The sequence below is a fragment of the Homo sapiens genome, chromosome 4 (genome assembly GCF_000001405.40).
Source record: "Homo sapiens chromosome 4, GRCh38.p14 Primary Assembly".
NCBI lineage: Eukaryota > Metazoa > Chordata > Mammalia > Primates > Hominidae > Homo > Homo sapiens.
The window spans coordinates 16,999,810-17,017,183 of NC_000004.12; the positions used below are offsets into that span (position 1 = coordinate 16,999,810).

At 41.5% G+C, this 17,374-nt stretch overlaps 4 annotated features.

Annotated features, from left to right (window-relative positions):
- Nucleotides 648–1,559: an enhancer, noted in NCBI's record as "H3K27ac hESC enhancer chr4:17002080-17002991 (GRCh37/hg19 assembly coordinates)". NCBI's record gives its function as "activates a minimal SCP1, AML or CMV promoter by ChIP-STARR-seq in naive and primed H9 embryonic stem cells {active_cell/tissue: H9 hESC(naive and primed)}" and the evidence as "EXISTENCE:reporter gene assay evidence [ECO:0000049][PMID:30033119]".
- Nucleotides 3,081–3,602: an enhancer, noted in NCBI's record as "OCT4-NANOG-H3K27ac hESC enhancer chr4:17004513-17005034 (GRCh37/hg19 assembly coordinates)". NCBI's record gives its function as "activates a minimal SCP1, AML or CMV promoter by ChIP-STARR-seq in naive H9 embryonic stem cells {active_cell/tissue: H9 hESC(naive)}" and the evidence as "EXISTENCE:reporter gene assay evidence [ECO:0000049][PMID:30033119]".
- Nucleotides 3,603–4,124: an enhancer, noted in NCBI's record as "OCT4-NANOG-H3K27ac hESC enhancer chr4:17005035-17005556 (GRCh37/hg19 assembly coordinates)". NCBI's record gives its function as "activates a minimal SCP1, AML or CMV promoter by ChIP-STARR-seq in naive and primed H9 embryonic stem cells {active_cell/tissue: H9 hESC(naive and primed)}" and the evidence as "EXISTENCE:reporter gene assay evidence [ECO:0000049][PMID:30033119]".
- Nucleotides 6,643–7,183: an enhancer, noted in NCBI's record as "NANOG hESC enhancer chr4:17008075-17008615 (GRCh37/hg19 assembly coordinates)". NCBI's record gives its function as "activates a minimal SCP1, AML or CMV promoter by ChIP-STARR-seq in naive H9 embryonic stem cells {active_cell/tissue: H9 hESC(naive)}" and the evidence as "EXISTENCE:reporter gene assay evidence [ECO:0000049][PMID:30033119]".

Sequence of the window (17,374 nt, forward strand, 5' to 3'; positions counted from 1 at the left end):
AAAGGCAATTCCTTGTCTCCACTGGGAGACAAACCCCAGCCATATCTCCAGCACACAAGAACTTCCAAATGCCTGAACCGCAGCAGCCAGGCGTTCCTCCAGAGCCGCCTCCCCCAGGAGCTTGCTACAAGTGCCAGAAATCTGGCCACCAGGCCAAGGAATGCCCGCAGCCCGGGATTCCTCCTAAGCCATGTCCCATCTGTGTGGGACCCCACTGAAAATCGGACTGTTCAACTTACCTGGCAGCCACTCCCAGAGCCCCTGGGACTCTGGCCCAAGGCTCTCTGACTGACTCCTTCCCAGATCTTCTCGGCTTAGCAGCTGAAGACTGACACTGCCCAATTGCCTCGGAAGCCTACAGGACCATCACAGACAGTCTGGGTAATTCTCACAGTGGAGGGTAAGTCCGTCCCCTTCTTAATCAATACGGAGGCTACCGACTCCACATTACCTTCTTTTCAAGGGCCTGTTTCCCTTGCCTCCATAACTGTTGTGGGTATTGACGGCCAGGCTTCTAAACCTCTTAAAACTCCCCAACTCTGGTGCCAACTTAGACAATACTCTTTTAAGCACTCCTTTTTAGTTATCCCCACCTGCCCAGTTCCCTTATTAGGCTGAGACACTTTAACTAAATTATCTGCTTCCCTGACTATTCCTGGGCTACAGCCACACCTCACTGCCACCTTTTCCCCCAGTTCAAAGCCTCCTTCACATCCTCCCTCTCGTATCCCCCCCACCTTAACCCACAAGCATAGGATACCTCTACTCCCTCCTTGGCGACCGATCATGCACCCCTTACCATCTCATTAAAACCTAATCACTCTTACCCCACTCAACGCCAATATCCCATCCCGCAGCATGCTTTAAAAACATTAAAGCCTGTTATCACTCGCCTGCTACAGCATGGCCTTTTAAAGCCTATAAACTCTCCTTACAATTCCCATATTTTACCTGTCCTAAAACCAGACAAGCCTTACAAGTTAGTTCAGGATCTGCGCCTTATCAACCAAACTGTTTCACCTATCCACCCCGTGGTGCCAAACCCATATACTCTCCTATCCTCAATGCCTTCCTCTACAACCTATTATTCTGTTCTAGATCTCAAACATGCTTTCTTTACTATTCCTTTGCACCTTTCCTCCCAGCCTCTCTTCGCTTTCACTTGGACTGACCCTGACACCCATCAAGCTCAGCAAATTACCTAGGCTGTACTGCTGCAAAGCTTCACAGACAGCCCCCATTACTTCAGTCAAGCCCAAATTTCTTCCTCATCTGTTACCTATCTCGGCATAATTCTCATAAAAACACACGTGCTCTCCCTGCCAATCGTGTCCAACTGATCTCTCAAACCCCAGCACCTTCTACAAAACAACAACTCCTTTCCTTCCTAGGCATGGTTAGCGTGGTCAGAATTCTTACACAAGAGCCAGGACCGCACCCTGTAGCCTTTCTGTCCAAACAACTTGACCTTACTGTTTTAGCCTAGCCCTCATGTCTGCGTGCAGCAGCTGCCGCTGCTTTAATACTTTTAGAGGCCCTCAAAATCACAAACGATGCTCAACTCACTCTCTACAGTTCTCATAACTTCCAAAATCTATTTTCTTCCTCATACCTGACGCATATACTTTCTGCTTCCCGGCTCCTTCAGCTGTACTCACTCTTTGTTGAGTCTCCCACAGTTACTGTTGTTCCTGGCCCAGACTTCAATCCGGCTTCTCACATTATTCTGGATACCACACCTGACCCTCATGACTGCATCTCTCTGATCCACCTGACGTTCACCCCATTTCCCCACATTTCCTTCTTCCCTGTTTCTCACCGTGATCACACTTGGTTTATTGATGGCAGTTCCACCAGGCTTAATCGCCACTCACCAGCAAAGGCAGGCTATGCTGTAGTATCTTCCACATCTATCATTGAGGCTACCGCTCTGCCCCCCTCCACTACCGCTCAGCAAGCCGAACTAGTTGCCTTAACTCAAGCCCTCACTCTTGCAAAAGGACTACGCATCGATATCTATACTGATTCTAAATATGCCTTTCATATTCTGCACCACCATGCAGTCATATGGGCTGAAAGAGGTTTTCTCACTACACAAGGGTCCTCCATCATTAATCCCTCTTTAATAAAAACTACTCAAGCCCACTTTACTTCCAAAGGAAGCTGGGGTCATTCACTGCAAGGGGCGTCAAAAGGCGTCAGATCCCATTGCTCTAGGCAACACTTATGCTGATAAGGTGGCTAGACAAGCAGCTAGCTCTCCAACTTCTGTCCCTCACGGCCAGTTTTTCTCCTTCACATCGGTCACTCCCACCTACTCCCCTGCTGAAACTTCCACCTATCAATCTCTTCCCACACAAGGCAAATGGTTCTTAGACCAAGGAAAATATCTCCTTCCAGCCTCACAGGCCCATTCTATTCTGTCGTCATTTCATAACCTCTTCCATGTAGGTTACAAGCCACTAGCCCGTCTCTTAGAACCTCTCATTTCCTTTCCATCGTGGAAATCTATCCTCAAGGAGATCACTTCTCAGTGTTCCATCTGCTATTCTACTACCCCTCATGGATTGTTCAGGCCTCCTCCCTTTCCTACACATCAAGCTCGGGGATTTGCCCCTGCCCAGGACTGGCAAATTGACTTTACTCACATGCCTCGAGTTAGAAAACTAAAATATCTCTTAGTCTGGGTAGACACTTTCACTGGATGGGTAGAGGCCTTTCCTACAGGGTCTGAGAAGGCCACCACAGTCATTTCTTCCCTTCTGTCAGACATAATTCCTCAGTTTAGTCTTCCCACCTCTATACAGTCTGATAACAGACCAGCCTTTATTAGTCAAATCAGCCAAGCAGTTTTTCAGGCTCTTAGTATTCAGTGACAGACTAATGGTCTACTAAAAACACACCTCACCCAGCTCAGCCACCAACTTAAAAAGGACTGGACCATACTTTTACCACTTTCACTTCTCTGAATTCAGGTCTGTCCTTGGAATGCTACAAGGTACAGCCCATTTAAGCTCCTGTATAGACGCTCCTTTTCATTAGGCCCCAGTCTCATTCCAGACACCAGACCAACTTAGACTGTGCCCCAAAAAACTTGTCATCCCTACTATCTTCTGTTTAGTCATACTCCTATTCACCGTTCTCAACTACTCATAAATGACTTGCTCTTGTTTACACTGCCAGTTTAGACTGTTTCTCCAAGCCATCACAGCTGATATCTCCTGGTGCTATCCCCAAACCGCCACTCTAAACTCTTGAAGTAAATAAATAATCTTTGCTGGCAGGACTATGCTGAATCTCCTTAGGCATCTCTAATCAGATGTCCTGGGTCCTCCCAATTCTTAGACCTTTTATACCTGTTTTTCTCCTTCTCTTATTCCATTTAGTTTTTCAATTCATACAAAACTGTATCCAGGCCATCACCAATAATTCTACACGACAAAGTTTCTTCTAACAACCACACAATATCACCCCTTACCACAAAATCTTCCTTCAGCTTAATCTCTCCCACTCTAGGTTCCCACACCGCCCCTAACCCCGCTCGAAGCAGCCCTGAGAAACATTGCCCATTCTCTCTCTCCATACCACCCCCCAAAATTTTTCGCCGCCCCCACACTTCAACACTATTTTGTTTTATTTTTCTTATTAATATAAGAAGGCAGGAATGTCAGGCCTCTGAGCCCAAGCCAAGCCATCACATCCCCTGTGACTTGCACCTATACACCCAGATGGCCTGAAGTAACTGAAGAATCACAAAAGAAGTGAATATGCCCTGCGCCGCCTTAACTGATGACATTCCACCACAAAAGAAGTGTAAATGGCCGGTCCTTGCCTTAACTGATGACATTACCTTGTGAAAGTCCTTTTCCTGGCTCATCCTGGCTCAAAAAGCACCCCCACTGAGCACCTTGCGACCCCCACTCCGGCCCACCAGAGAACAAACCCCCTTTGACTGTAATTTTCCTTTACGTACCCAAATCCTATAAAACGGCCCCACCCCTATCTCCCTTAGCTGACTCTCTTTTCGGACTCAGCCCGCCTGCACCCAGGTGAAATAAACAGCCATGTTGCTCACACAAAGACTGTTTGGTGGTCTCTTCACACGGACGCGCATGAAAGGCCCCTTTCCGGTAACAAAGGTGCTATCAAGAAACAGAGGGGTTGGTTGATGCTTCTTAACCTTGTTAATGTCAAATTTTCTGCATCTGAGTAGTGCTTTGAAAACCCCGGTAAGGTGTAAGACATGGGAACTTTTGTGCCTATTGGAAACCAGAATATGCCACACCAAAGTATATAGGATTATTGAGCCAAAGGCAATGAAGGAGGAGATGCAGGAAAGCACTCTGCCCTCCATGTGCCTAAAAGCAGGATATAAATATGCAAAGGCAAAGGGTTTCCATGCCCTCACCTACCAGAGAGAAGAAATGTTAACCCTTTAAGACAACGTTAGCCGGTGGAGATGGCAGCAGTGGAATCTACATTAACCAGCTTTCCTAACTTGCCGTTAAGTGCCCTTAGTTTACCTTTCCAAAAGTTGCTATTCTGCACATTCAAAGTTCCTTTCCTTTGTTTTGTCGCTTCTCTAAAATTTTACTGTACTTTGTTAAAGATGCTATATAAGCTGTAATTCAAATTCACCTCTATGAGAATTACTCATTCCCTGGTATCACCCATGTATATATAAAATATACATGTTAATAAATGTGGTTTTTTTAATTAATCTGTCTATTGTTACAGGGGTCCATTCCAACTACGAACCTATGAGAATTGGAGAAAAAATTATTGTTCTTCCCCTACATGCCCGTGAGAAAAATGGGCTTGGACGGAAAACAAAATGGCTTTCCCATAATTAATTAGTGGTGTTGCCAGCACTCTATCCCAGGTCCCTATCGCAGAGCTTACATGGTACCATGAAACTTTTAAATTTCTACTTTGCAAATTTTCCTCCCTTGCTCCATGCTCAGCTGTGGTTCCATTTGTGCTTCTGTTTCTTATGAGTTATATCTTTGTTTTACCCAAGGATCAAGATATTAACCTCCTGGAATGATTGTACCTAGCAACAAGCTGCAGTGGAGATGAGAAAAAACATCCTCATCCATTTCTTGCGGCTTAGCTCTCCTTCATATGGATGGATGGTGGTTGGTGCCTCTTGGAAAGGTTATTTCTAATGATTGCTCCAAATATATGAGCAATATATTTCACCCATTAAGCAAAATTCTTGAATTCTGGCATTTTAACAAAAATGAAAATCTGAAAGCAATATTCTAATGCTTTCTTCTTCTGGGACAGAAGTGTGAAAATGGCATATTTGAAACTTCTCTTCATCAATTTCTGCTAGTGTCCCTACTAGATGACACTGTCAGGCACTGCTCTAGGTGCTTTATGCACATTAAGCCTCACACTAGGCTATGGAATAAGCGCTCCTATCATCCCCATTTTACCAGTGCAGTCACTAAAGTTGAAGGAGGTTGTCATTCAAAGTCATGAACATAGCAAGTAGCAGAGCTGAGATTCAAATCCAGGAGTTTCTCACTCCAAAGCCTGTTCTCTATCCCATTGCAATTTACTGCTTTCTCTGCTCTATATAAAGAAACTACTTAAGATTCTAGAATAGTTGACAATATATTGGCTTTCAAAGTACAAGTTTTCAGTTACAGTAGAAGAAATGGATAACACAGACAACCTTACCATCTTAGCCTTCCACTTGGAAAAACAGGCAGCCACACCCGCCCCCCCGCCTCCCTCCCCCGCTTCTAAATTTATGCATTATATGACAGGCACCAAGGAATGCCAAAAATGATTAAGATATAATTTTTAAGAAATCACAGCTTGATGGCGGGGGGAAGAAAAGGCAGAAGATTCTACCTTTAGTCAGGAGTATGAAAGAGATACAATTACAAGGTGAGAGGAAATAAGAACTCTTTCTGGCCAGGTGCGGTGGCTCATGCCTGTAATCCCAGCACTTTGGGAGGCCAAAGCAGGTGGATCACGAGGTCAGGAGTTCGAACCAGCCTGGCTAACATGGTGAAATCCTGTCTCTACTAAAAACACAAAAAAATTAGCCCGGTGTGGTAGCATGCATCTGTAATCCCAGCTACTCGGGAGCCTGAGGCAGGAGAATTGCTTGAACTCGGGAGGTGGAGGTTGCAGTGAGCTGAGATTGTGTCATTGCACTCCAGCCTGGGCGACAAGAGCAAGACTCCATTTCAAAAAACAAAACAAAACAAAACAAAAAACAAAACTCTTTCTGAGGATGTCAGTAAAGGTTCCCCTGAAGAGGTATCTTCTTGAGCTGGCTTTGAAGCATGGCATCCTTTAGGAAAAGGGCACTTCACCCCTAAGTCCAGGCAAGGGTAAGGACGTGGTACAGTGAGTATGTGGCATCTAGGGCCCTGGGGCTGGAGGGGCAGAGATGAGGCTGTGGAGAGGTTGGTTTGGGTCATATTATATAACAGGGTCTTACCCTGTAGTTTTGTGACAGTTCCTCAGTGAGCTCTGCTGGACGATCTGTCATAAAATGGTGTCTCAATATTTGTGCCCAGAAAATATATTCACTAACACTAAGAGCTGTGTCTTAATGTGTTTTAAAAGCAGAGCCTTTATTAAACTACACCATACTATGTAAGCATTTTTGTATTAATGTTTGATTCAGCAGAAAGGCAGTGGGTGTGGTAGAAAAACAACCTTTGGAGCCATACACCACTGGGCTCAAATTCTCGTTACTTTCCACCCCTCTGATCTTGGGGAAATGCCCAAGCAATTAAAAGAGAAGCCAGTCCTTCGGGGCTCTACCTATGAGCACTGTCTGCATATCCAGCCTGCAGATGATGAAACCTACTTTGTAGGGAAGAAGTGAGAATTAACTGGTACAGAATCAGGCCTATAGAAATGATCAACAATGGCTAACGAGTCAGAAGCTCATCTCTTTGCTGCAGTTGAAAGGAAGCTCATCCTTTTTAATCAATACAGGCTGTGAAGGATTGCTTTTGATCTATAGAGTCACAATGAAGTTGGAATGGGGGCCATTTTGGCTATAGAGATCTTAGTTCTACAAAGGCAGCAAAGAAATGTGTGTGTGTGTGTATATGTGTGTGTGTGTGTGTGTATATATATATATATATACATTAAGAATATTGGCAGGATCTAGCACAATTAAAAATGCACACTCCCTGACATGTGAGAGACTGGAATGCATATCTTTCTCCTCCCAGGGTGCCTCCTTGACAGTGGAAGCCAGGAAGCCACGCATTTCCCAGATTCCCTTGCAGATAAGGTTTCAAGTGTGAATGAGATTCCATCAATCAGAAGTACCATATGAGATTTGGAAGGCAAAAAATGAAGCTGACATTTGCTCCTGCTGTATTTGTGGTCACTAGCTTTGTCAGTATCAAAGCTCACAGCATATAACATCCATTTTACTGGCACAGGATAATTCTGGAGCAGCAGTGGCTTCCTGATCATCACTGATTCCTGATCTTGGTGCTTCTTGATCATGGCTCTGTGGTGGTGGGATTCTGGGAGCTGACATCTGCAAGGCAACTTCCCAGTTAGGCAGCAGCTCCTTTGGTGGATCAGTCCAATAGTGTAACTTTGACAATCATTCCTGAAAGTTCAAACTTGAGTCTTTACCCCCTGGAAAACATTTGATTCTCTGTAACTAAATGTATGCTGATTAAATTCTCCAACCCATCTTCTGGGAATTTGGCCAACAGATATACCTATAATCCATATGTATGCAAAAATGCATGTATAAAATTCACTAAAGCATGGCTTTATATCAGGAAAGATTTGGAAATCACCTAAATGTTCATTAGTAAGGAATTGGTTAAATAATATTGTATCTACATACTTTAGCCCTATGCTGACAATTTTATTTTTTAAAAGAAAATATCTCTAGCTATACAGCTACAGAGAGATATTCCCAACACGATGTTAAGTACTGGTGCTAAATATTTTATTTTTTGCCTGGATAGCCACACCTACCACTCACAGCCCATATGCTTGGAAAATGATAACTCCACCCCTGGCTCTAAGGTGAGTCCTTCCTCGGCTCACATCTAATGAATTCATGTAACCCCATCCTTTTCTAAGGAGATTGGTTCCAATGGAGGCACATGACCCAATTCATGCCAATAAGATGTGAAAATTGTTGACTTGAGCCTCCAAGTGAAAAAACATTAAAATTAATGTTTTCTGGCTCTTCTGAGAGAACTTCAAGAAATAACTCTCTCTCTTTCTGCCTACATATGGACATGCAGGTATGTAGCCCTGGGGATGTTAACAAGTCATATGACAGCCAGGATGGGAAGCCAGCCTTAACAATAATAGCATGAAAGGCAAAGCAGACAGAGAGAAACCATATCTCTGATAACATAGTTAAGCCACTGAGTCAAATCCACCTTGAATCAAGCTCTTTCTCTGAACTTCTAATTATGTAGGTCAACAAATTCAGTTTATTATGCAGGGTAGTTTGGTTTTGGATTATGTGCAATGGAACTTATTCTATAAATTAAGTGCAAAAAAAATGCAAGGAGCCTAAACAGGTATGTAATGCATTATCCCACGTATGTTAAAAATGAAAAATTTTTCTTTTTTCTTTTTTTTTTGAGACAGAGTCTCACTCTATTGGCAGGCTGGAGTACAGTGGTGCGATCTCAGCTCACTGCAACCTCTGCCTCCCGGATTCAAGTAATTCTCCTGTCTCAGCCTCTCGAGTAGCTGGGACTACAGGTGCATGCCACCACCCCGGCTAATTTTTGTATTTTCAGTAGAGACGGGGTTTCACCATGTTGGCCAGGATGGTCTCAATTTCTTGACCTCGTGATCCACCCGCCTCGGCCTCCCAAAGTGCTAGGATTACAGGGGTGAGCCACCGCACCTGCCCTAAAAATGAAAAAATTTTAAATACATATATACAAATGTACTTTATCATGTATAGAAAATTTTTAAGAAGATACACAAAACTGTTCATTGTAGTGATTTCTGAGGAGTTAGGGAGACTTTTCATTATTTATCTTTTTATATTTGAACTTGTTTAATCAATTACATATATGACTTTAATAATTCTACTTTTAAAATAGAATCATCTATTTTGCTCATAAAGAAATATCAACACACACACACACAAAAATAGCTTGGATCTATTTAATCATTGTCTGTGCAGGCAGAGGAAAGGAAAAGCTCCTCTTTAGGTGACATCATCTCTGCACTGGGAAGCAGGGGCCAGAGGCAAGTCAGGGTCTGTATCCCCCATAGCCAGGTGTCATTCAGGACATAGCAGCTGGCTTCAGGCTTCAGATGTAGAGTATACTCTCTCTATCATGTTTATCTGCATGATCTTATTTACATATGGAATTTTAAGAAGTCTATGTCATAGAAACAGAGAGCAGAAGAGTAGTTACCAGGAGCCAGAGGGGTGGAGAAATGGGGTTGGCCCAAGGGCTCGAACTTTCTGTTATAAGAGGAATACGTTCTGAAGAACTAATATACAGCATGGTGATTATAGCTAATAATAATGTATTACCTACTTGAAATTTGTTAGGAGAGTACATCTTAAGTATCATCACCACAAAAAAAGGTAACTATGTTAATCAGCTTGATTGATTGTGGTAATTTCACAACATGTAAGTATATCAAAACATCATGTTGTACACTTTAAATGTATGCAATTTTTATTTGTCAGTTATACCTCAATAAAGCTGGGGAAGATGTAGAGGATGCTGACTATCTATTGATAACATGCCGTGAGGTTTCATGGACCTCATGCAATTAAGCTGTCCCTGCAAGAAATCTGGGGGCAATCTAAGAAGACCTGCCCTTGAGTTTTCCTTTCCCTATGCAGTTGAAGAACCTTTGCCTTTGGTCTTAGAGGCTTCTGGAGAAAGGCCAGTTGAGAAGCCACCATCACTCATTTTGTTGTTGTTGTTGTTTGTTTTGTTTTGTTTTTGTTGCCCAAGCTGGAGTGCAATGGTGCCATCTTGGCTCACTGCAGTCTCCACCTCCCAGGTTCAAGCAATTCTCCTGCCTCAGCCACCAGAGTAGCTGGGACTACAGGCACCCGCCACCATGCCTCGCTAATTTTTGTATTTTTTAGTAGAGACAGGATTTCTCCATGTTGGCCAGGCCGGTCTTGAACTCCTGACCTCAGGTGATCCACCCCGATCGTCCTCACAAAGTGCTGGGATTACAGGCATGAGCCACCTTGCTCGGCTCCATCACTTGTTTTTTACAGCATCCTCTTCATCTGCAGCAACTTCAGAGTAGACAGGAAGAGGCACCTCTGGGCTCTTTATAAGGCTCTCCCTCCCTCTAAACGCCACGCAATCTTCACAGGAAAGCTTGCCTGGCTTTTTCCTCCCTCCCCGCCTGCATTCTGACTGCTCCCTTTACCTTGAATGTCATCACAGGTCGGCTTTCCTGGGAAGCAGGCTAAGGGACTATTTTTAAAATTATTACAATTTTTAAAAATCAGATGAGCCTATTTGTAAAACTAAAATGTAGAGAACAGACACACACACACGTCCCCATTCTGTCCCAGTTATAGAGTTCAAGGGACTAAGATGGTGGGACCCACAATTTCTAGTCACTGCACTTATTTTTAAAAGGAAGAAAAGAAAAAGAAGCCTAAATGATGCTATTATGGCGGCTAATTAAATTTCTTCTTGCTGTTACAATGCATTCATTTTTGAGGATCATTACTTTTCGTGTAGCTTCTCTCAAGAGCTTGGTTTAAGGTTTAAGTTAAGGAAACCGCAAGACAAGCCTTAAAGCCGCAGGCTGTGCATACATCCGCCCGTGGCAGTGTGCGCCCTGCGCAGGAGAACTCCTGCAAGAGAAAATGATGACCAAGCTGCCATTTCTTTTGAAGTACATGAAATGAAAAGGAAGGGGGGAACAGCTCTTCTTTTTATAGAAGGAGATCCACCGAGTTGATAGACAGGAGTGTGTTTGCATATAGCCTTTAGCTAATGTTCAAAATTCAGGGTGTTCATTTCCTATTTAATATTCATTTATTCCACCAAAAGACACGAGTTGCCCTAGATGTGCCAGGAGCTCTGACATATGTAAGGGAAAGAGGGTAGAGAGTAGGTGAGGCTCAGAGACAGCTTTGGGGAAAAGGTAGCACTGCGCTGGCCCCAGGGGTGTGTGCTGGAGACAGGTCAGACTGGAGCAAGGCAATCGTGCACACCTCTTCTCAATGCCACGTTCACTCCCATTTGGTTCATAATTTGAAATAAGCCATTGTGGGATTATTTCCACCACAGAAGTTGGCAAACACTACAATCACAGCTTCTTTTTCTCCCCTTCTGGAGAGCCAGTCTACCAGCTGCACACTGGCTGCACCTCATTTTCCAGATGAGAAACTGAGGCAGAGACAGGAAGGATGTCTTATTCTTTGTCTTCCTTAGTCTACCAGCGCAGTGTTTACCACACCACAGATGCCCCATAAATATGTGTGACTAACTAAAATGGGGGTATTCAAATTGCTTTCCTCCTTTTATCTAAGTTATTGATAAATACAACTAAAAGTGTAAAAGATAATGCAATTGTATTAAACCAAAATGTAGCGGCAGAAACAAATAACCTAAACCTAAGAAAACATATCAAGTGTTACAGAAAAAATAAGTTGCTAGCATTTTCTGCTAGAGGGAGCTTTGATAACTTTTTGTTGTTATTTTCCTAACCAAATTAGACCCTTTTAAGATCTCGAGGCCGGGTGCGGTGGCTCACACCTGTAATAGCAGCACTTTGGAAGGCCGAGGCGGGTGGATCACGAGGTCGGGAGATCCAGACCATCCTGGCTAACACGGTGAAACCCCGTCTCTACTAAAAACAGAAAAAATTAGCCGGGCGTGGTGGTGGGCGCCTGTAGTCCCTGCTACTCGGGAGGCTGAGGCAGGAGAATGGCGTGAACCCGGGAGGCGGAGCTTGCAGTGAGCCGAGATTGTGCCACTGCACTCCAGCCTGGGCGACAGAGCGAGACTCCGTCTCAAAAAAAAAAAAAAAAAAAAAAGAACTCGAATATCCCAGATATCCCAGAGCCTGCAAAGTCCGTTCGGACCGAGGCTCCGCATTTTGAACAGCAAAAGTCTTCATTCACTACATAGACTTTTCAGGCACTGAACAAAGCATTACCCCAAAGTGAAATGGGTGCTCTGTGTAGCCAAATATTTAGGTAAAGGCCAAGTAACATCTCAGCAGATGATACCTGCAAGTTAAAACAGAAAACAAACCTGCCAACATTTGGAAATGTGTGTGGGCAAAAGCAAATAATAACAAATGTATGTTTTTCATTGGAAAATGATAGAAGTTGGATGTGAGCTTTGAATAATAAGGGAAATCCATCCTTAAATAGTCATTTTTATTCTTATCTTTTTCAAAGTATCTAGAAAAAAATAAAGAATTAAAGAAAGCATATGTGATAAAGAGAGATAACACTCAATAACTACCACCAACACTGTATGCAAATGCCCAATTGGAATCAAGTTACAAACAAAACTCTGTTCTGAACCCTCAGTGTACCCCTTACATTCTTCTGTCCACCACCCCCACGCCTCGTTCCTCCCACCCTCCACTCTGGTAGTGATGTGAATGCTGAAAAGTCAAGACTGGGTTAAGAAGGGACCAAAAAGAATGTTTTAGATGAAATCAGATGTGACCCCTGAAATCAAGAGCATTTGCAGAGCATGGTTTTAATTATGGGGGCTCAGTCAGCTTCCCAGTACCTGCCCTTGGCTGCAGCTTGGTGCACCTCTAAAAATCTGCATGGCCTGCCAGTCTGCCAGCAGGAAGGGTTTATGGCCTCTCACTCCATTAAAAAATAAATAAATAAATCAGAAGCCCCTGAGGCAGTCACGTGTTTAGAAGCAATGAAATTGCAACCTGTTTACCTCCTCTTAGACATTTAAATTCCCAGCCAAGGTACACCCTTATAAGCTACCATTAAACGTTATTGTGAAGGAATTAGAATTTTTTGGCTCTGATGCAGTCTGACTTGCAGCATATGGCCCATCACCGAAACCCAGAGGCTCATCCTGTGTTTTTCAAGATCTCATAAAATTGTCCAGTTCTAATGGAAGGAAAGAGTTCTGCATCTTAAAAATCTATAGGTACCTCATTACAAGCTCAAGTTCTTTAAATGATACAGTCAGCGGAACTCTAAGGGCGAGGCCACTTCACAATGCAAAGGAAATGAAGTCCATAAATGTGGGAGTCTGGGTCTAATATCACTGGGGAAAAAAAAAAAAATTGTAAGTCACTGGAAGGAAAGACATAAGTAAGCTGAGGACTGAAAGCCAAAAAAATATATAAATAAATAAATTTAAAAAAAAATCCAGTCCATGGGGTGGGAAGGAGAATCTGAAAACATTTAGCTTTGAGAGAGAAGAGTGCTAACCATCAAAATTTTCCTCTTCAAATAGTTGAAGTGTTGGGGTAATGATTGATTTTAGGTGTCAACTGGTCTAGGTTATTGCTGTTTGCTCAAATGCCAGTCTAAATGCTGCTGCAAAGTATTTTCAAACAGTTATTAACATATAAATTAGTGGACTTTGAGTAAAGCAGATTACCCTTCATCATGAAGATGAGCCTCATCCAATCAGATGAAGGCCTTAAGAGAAATGACTGAGATTCTCCAAGGAAAAAGGAATTCTACCTTTAGATTGCCTCAGGCTCAAGACTGCAAAATCAGCTTTTTCCTGGATCTACAGCCTGTTGGCCTGCCCTGAAGATTTCAGACTTGCCAGCTCCCATAACTGCAGGGAGGAAATTCCTTAAATTAACTCTCTCTAAATGCACATCCTGTTGGTTTCTCTGCAGAACCTTGACTAATATAGTTGATATGTAAAGAAGAAAGAGAAAAGAGAACTAATGTTTGGTAGCATTTTATGATTTCCCATTCATCTCTTTTGTCCTGACAACAACCTTGTAAAGTAAGCAATTGTCCCATTTTCCAGATTAGAAAACTGAGGCTTTGATCTTGCTGAGGATCATGAAACAAGTAAGCAGCGAATCTTACTTTCACTCAGGTTTATCTGTCTCCTATGCCCATCCTTTCCAGGACATCACTCGGCCTCCCTACAAGGCTTGTTCTGAGTTATTCCAGAAGGCAGAGCAAGGCCTCATGCCTCCTATGTAGACAGGCTATCCTCAGAGAGAGAAGCCGGTCTGTAGAGAGAGGTCGAGATGGAAGAAAGAAAAGTCTTAACGACATTCAATGCCTTGACTTCGGTGCCTTCTGAAGCCAGCTCCATGCTGCCCCTTCACTGCAGGTTTATGTTTTGATTTGGTTTGGTTTTTATCAGCTTTATTGAGGTATAGTTGACATACCATAAACTGAACATATTCAAAGTAAACAATTTGATAAGCCTTGCATATATACATTTACGAGACCAATATCTGCAATCAAGATGATGAGCTTATCCACCTCTCTCAGAAGTCACTTTTGTGACATCTTTCTCCTGCCTGCTTCCAGCCCTTCTGCCAGCGACCACTGATCTGCTTCCAGCCCCTATAGATTAGTTTTCATTTTCTGGCATCTTATATAAATTGCATCATACAGTAGGTACTCTTTTTTAAAAATCGGTTTCTTTCATACAGCATAATTATTTGAAGATGCATGTAGTGTATGTATCAGTAAATGATTATTTTTTGTTTCTGAGTTTTATTTCATGGTATGGATATGTCACAGTCTGTGGATCTGTTCTTCTGCTAGTGAAAATTTGGGTTGTTTCCAGTTTTTGGCTATTGTAAATCAAACTGCTTATGACCATTTATGTACGGGCCTTTATATGGATGTCTGCATGGGTTGGCAGACTGTGGCTTCTTGGGTGCTGCCTACAGACACAGCCACACGCACTCATTTACGCCTTCATTTAAGATCTGTGGCTGCTTTTGTGCAACAATGGCAGAGTATGTAGCATTTTGGCTGGAAAGGCTGAAACATTTACTTTACAGTTTCCAAACCCCTGCTTTTCTATATATTCCTAAAAGTAGAGTGACTAGACATGAGATAGGTGTTTGTTTAGCTTTTCAGAGAATGGCTAAACTGTTTTCCAAAGTTGTTACAATTTTACATTGCCACCAGCTTCATATGAGAGTTCCAGTTGCTCCATATCCTCGCCCAAACTTAATATGCTCATTCTTTTTAATTACATCCATTCTAATAGGTGTGTAGTAGTATCTCATTGTGATTTTAATGTGCATTTCTGATAACTAATGATATTCAACCTCTTTTCCTGTGTTTATTTTCTGTCTCTATATCTTTTTGGGTGAAGTCTGTTTAAATATTTTTTCTATTTGAGAGAGGGAGTATTTATTTTATTATTATTGAGTTTTGAGCATTCTTTATATATTCTGAATGCAAGTGCTTTATTAGATATGTAATTTAGTAATATTTCCTCCCAGTTTGGGACTTGTCTTTTCATCTTCTTGTCAGGGTCTTTCACAGAGCAAAAGTTTTTAATATTAATGAAAGCCAATTTATAATTTTTATTTTGTGTATTATGCTTTAGATGTTATGTTTAAGAAGTCTTTACCTTACCCAAGATCATAACACTTTCCTTATGACTTTTATAGTTTGGGATTTTACCCAAAACTATTTTAAGAACTATTGAGAAATGATTAATTTTTAAAATGTGCACACGGATACCCAATTATTTCAGAATCATTTGTTAAAAAGACTATCCTTCCTCTACTAAGCTGTTTCTGCACTTTTATTGAAAATACATGCGTAGGTCAATTTCTGGATTTCCTCTTTTATATCATTAATCTATTTGTCTAAACTATCTTGATGCCAATACCACACTGTTGTTTACTAATGATTTATAATAAGTTTTGAAGCCAGGTAGTACAAGACTTCCAATTTTGTTCTTCTTTTTCAGAATTATTTTAGCTATTCTAGGTCTTCTGCATTTCTATTTGAATTTTAGAATCAACTTATCAATTTCCACCGAAAATAAAAAAACATGCTGGGGTTTTTATGGGAATTGTTGAATCTACAGATCAATATGGGAAAAATTTACATCTAAATAATACAAAATACTCAGATTCATGAACATGATATATCTTTCCATTTTTTATTTAGGTATTCTTTAATTTCTCTCCATGATGATTTGTAATTGTCAGTATATAGATCTTACAACCACAGGCTGATTGGGAACAACTGTTCCCTTGCACTATAATGCAGGGTCACAAAATAAACAACACAACTTGTCATTATTTAAAATTTTGATATTTTACTCATCATAAATTTTTTGCATTAATTTGAATATTTTAAAATAGTGCACTATAATATTATTTATCTTGATTACTGAGTTTTCAGTGCCTTAAATTTTGGGCCTGAAGTGAATGTTTCTTGTAACTCACTCTCATCCCAGGACTACCTAAGTATTTCATAATTTTTGCACTAATGTTTTTAAATTTGAATTTTCAATTATTCATTGCTAGCACATGGAAATACAATTGATTTTTAAAATATTGATCTTGTATACTGCAGCCTACTTATTAGTTCTGGTACATTTGCTATAGATTTCTTTGGATTTTCTACATATTTGATCACATCATCAATTTTCTGGAAGAGATTGAGTACAATTGGTATTATTTCACTCTTAAATATTTGGTAGACCGGGTGTGGTGGCTCGTGCCTGTAATCCCAGCACTTTGGGAGGCCGACACGGGCAGATCACCTCAGGTCATGAGTTCGAGACCACCCTGATGAACATGGAGAAACCCCATCTCTACTAAAAATACAAAATTAGCCGGGCGTGGTGATGCATGCCTGTAATCCCAGCTACTCGGATGGCTGAGGCAGGAGAATTGCTTGAACCTGGGAGGCGGAGGTTGCAGTGAGCCAAGATCGCGCCATTGCACTCCAGCCTGGGCAACAACAGCAAAACTACATCTCAAAAAAAAAAAAAATTCGGTAGAATGTGCCCTTGAGCCACATGGGCCTGGCATTTTCTTTGTGGGAAAGTTTTTAACTACAAATTCAATTTTATTAACAAATATCAAGGTATTTGGGTAACTGATACTTCCTTAGCCTGCTTTGGTAGTTTGTCTTTTAAGGAATGTGTCTATTTTATTTATGTTGTTGAATTAATTGGCATAAAGTTATAATATTCCTTTATTATCACTTTAATATGTGTAAAATCTGTTTTTATGTCACCTTTCTCAGTTCTAATATTGGCAATTTTTAGTTTGTTTTTATCTCTTTTTGTTCCTGAACAGTCACCTTTCTTCTAGAACAAGAAACCCCAGTTTTTGAATGCATTTTTCTAAATTGTTTTTCTGGTTTCTGTTTCATTCATTTTCACTCCAATCTTTAAATTATTTCCTTTTTTTCCCAACTTACACTGAGTTTCATTTGCTCTTTTTA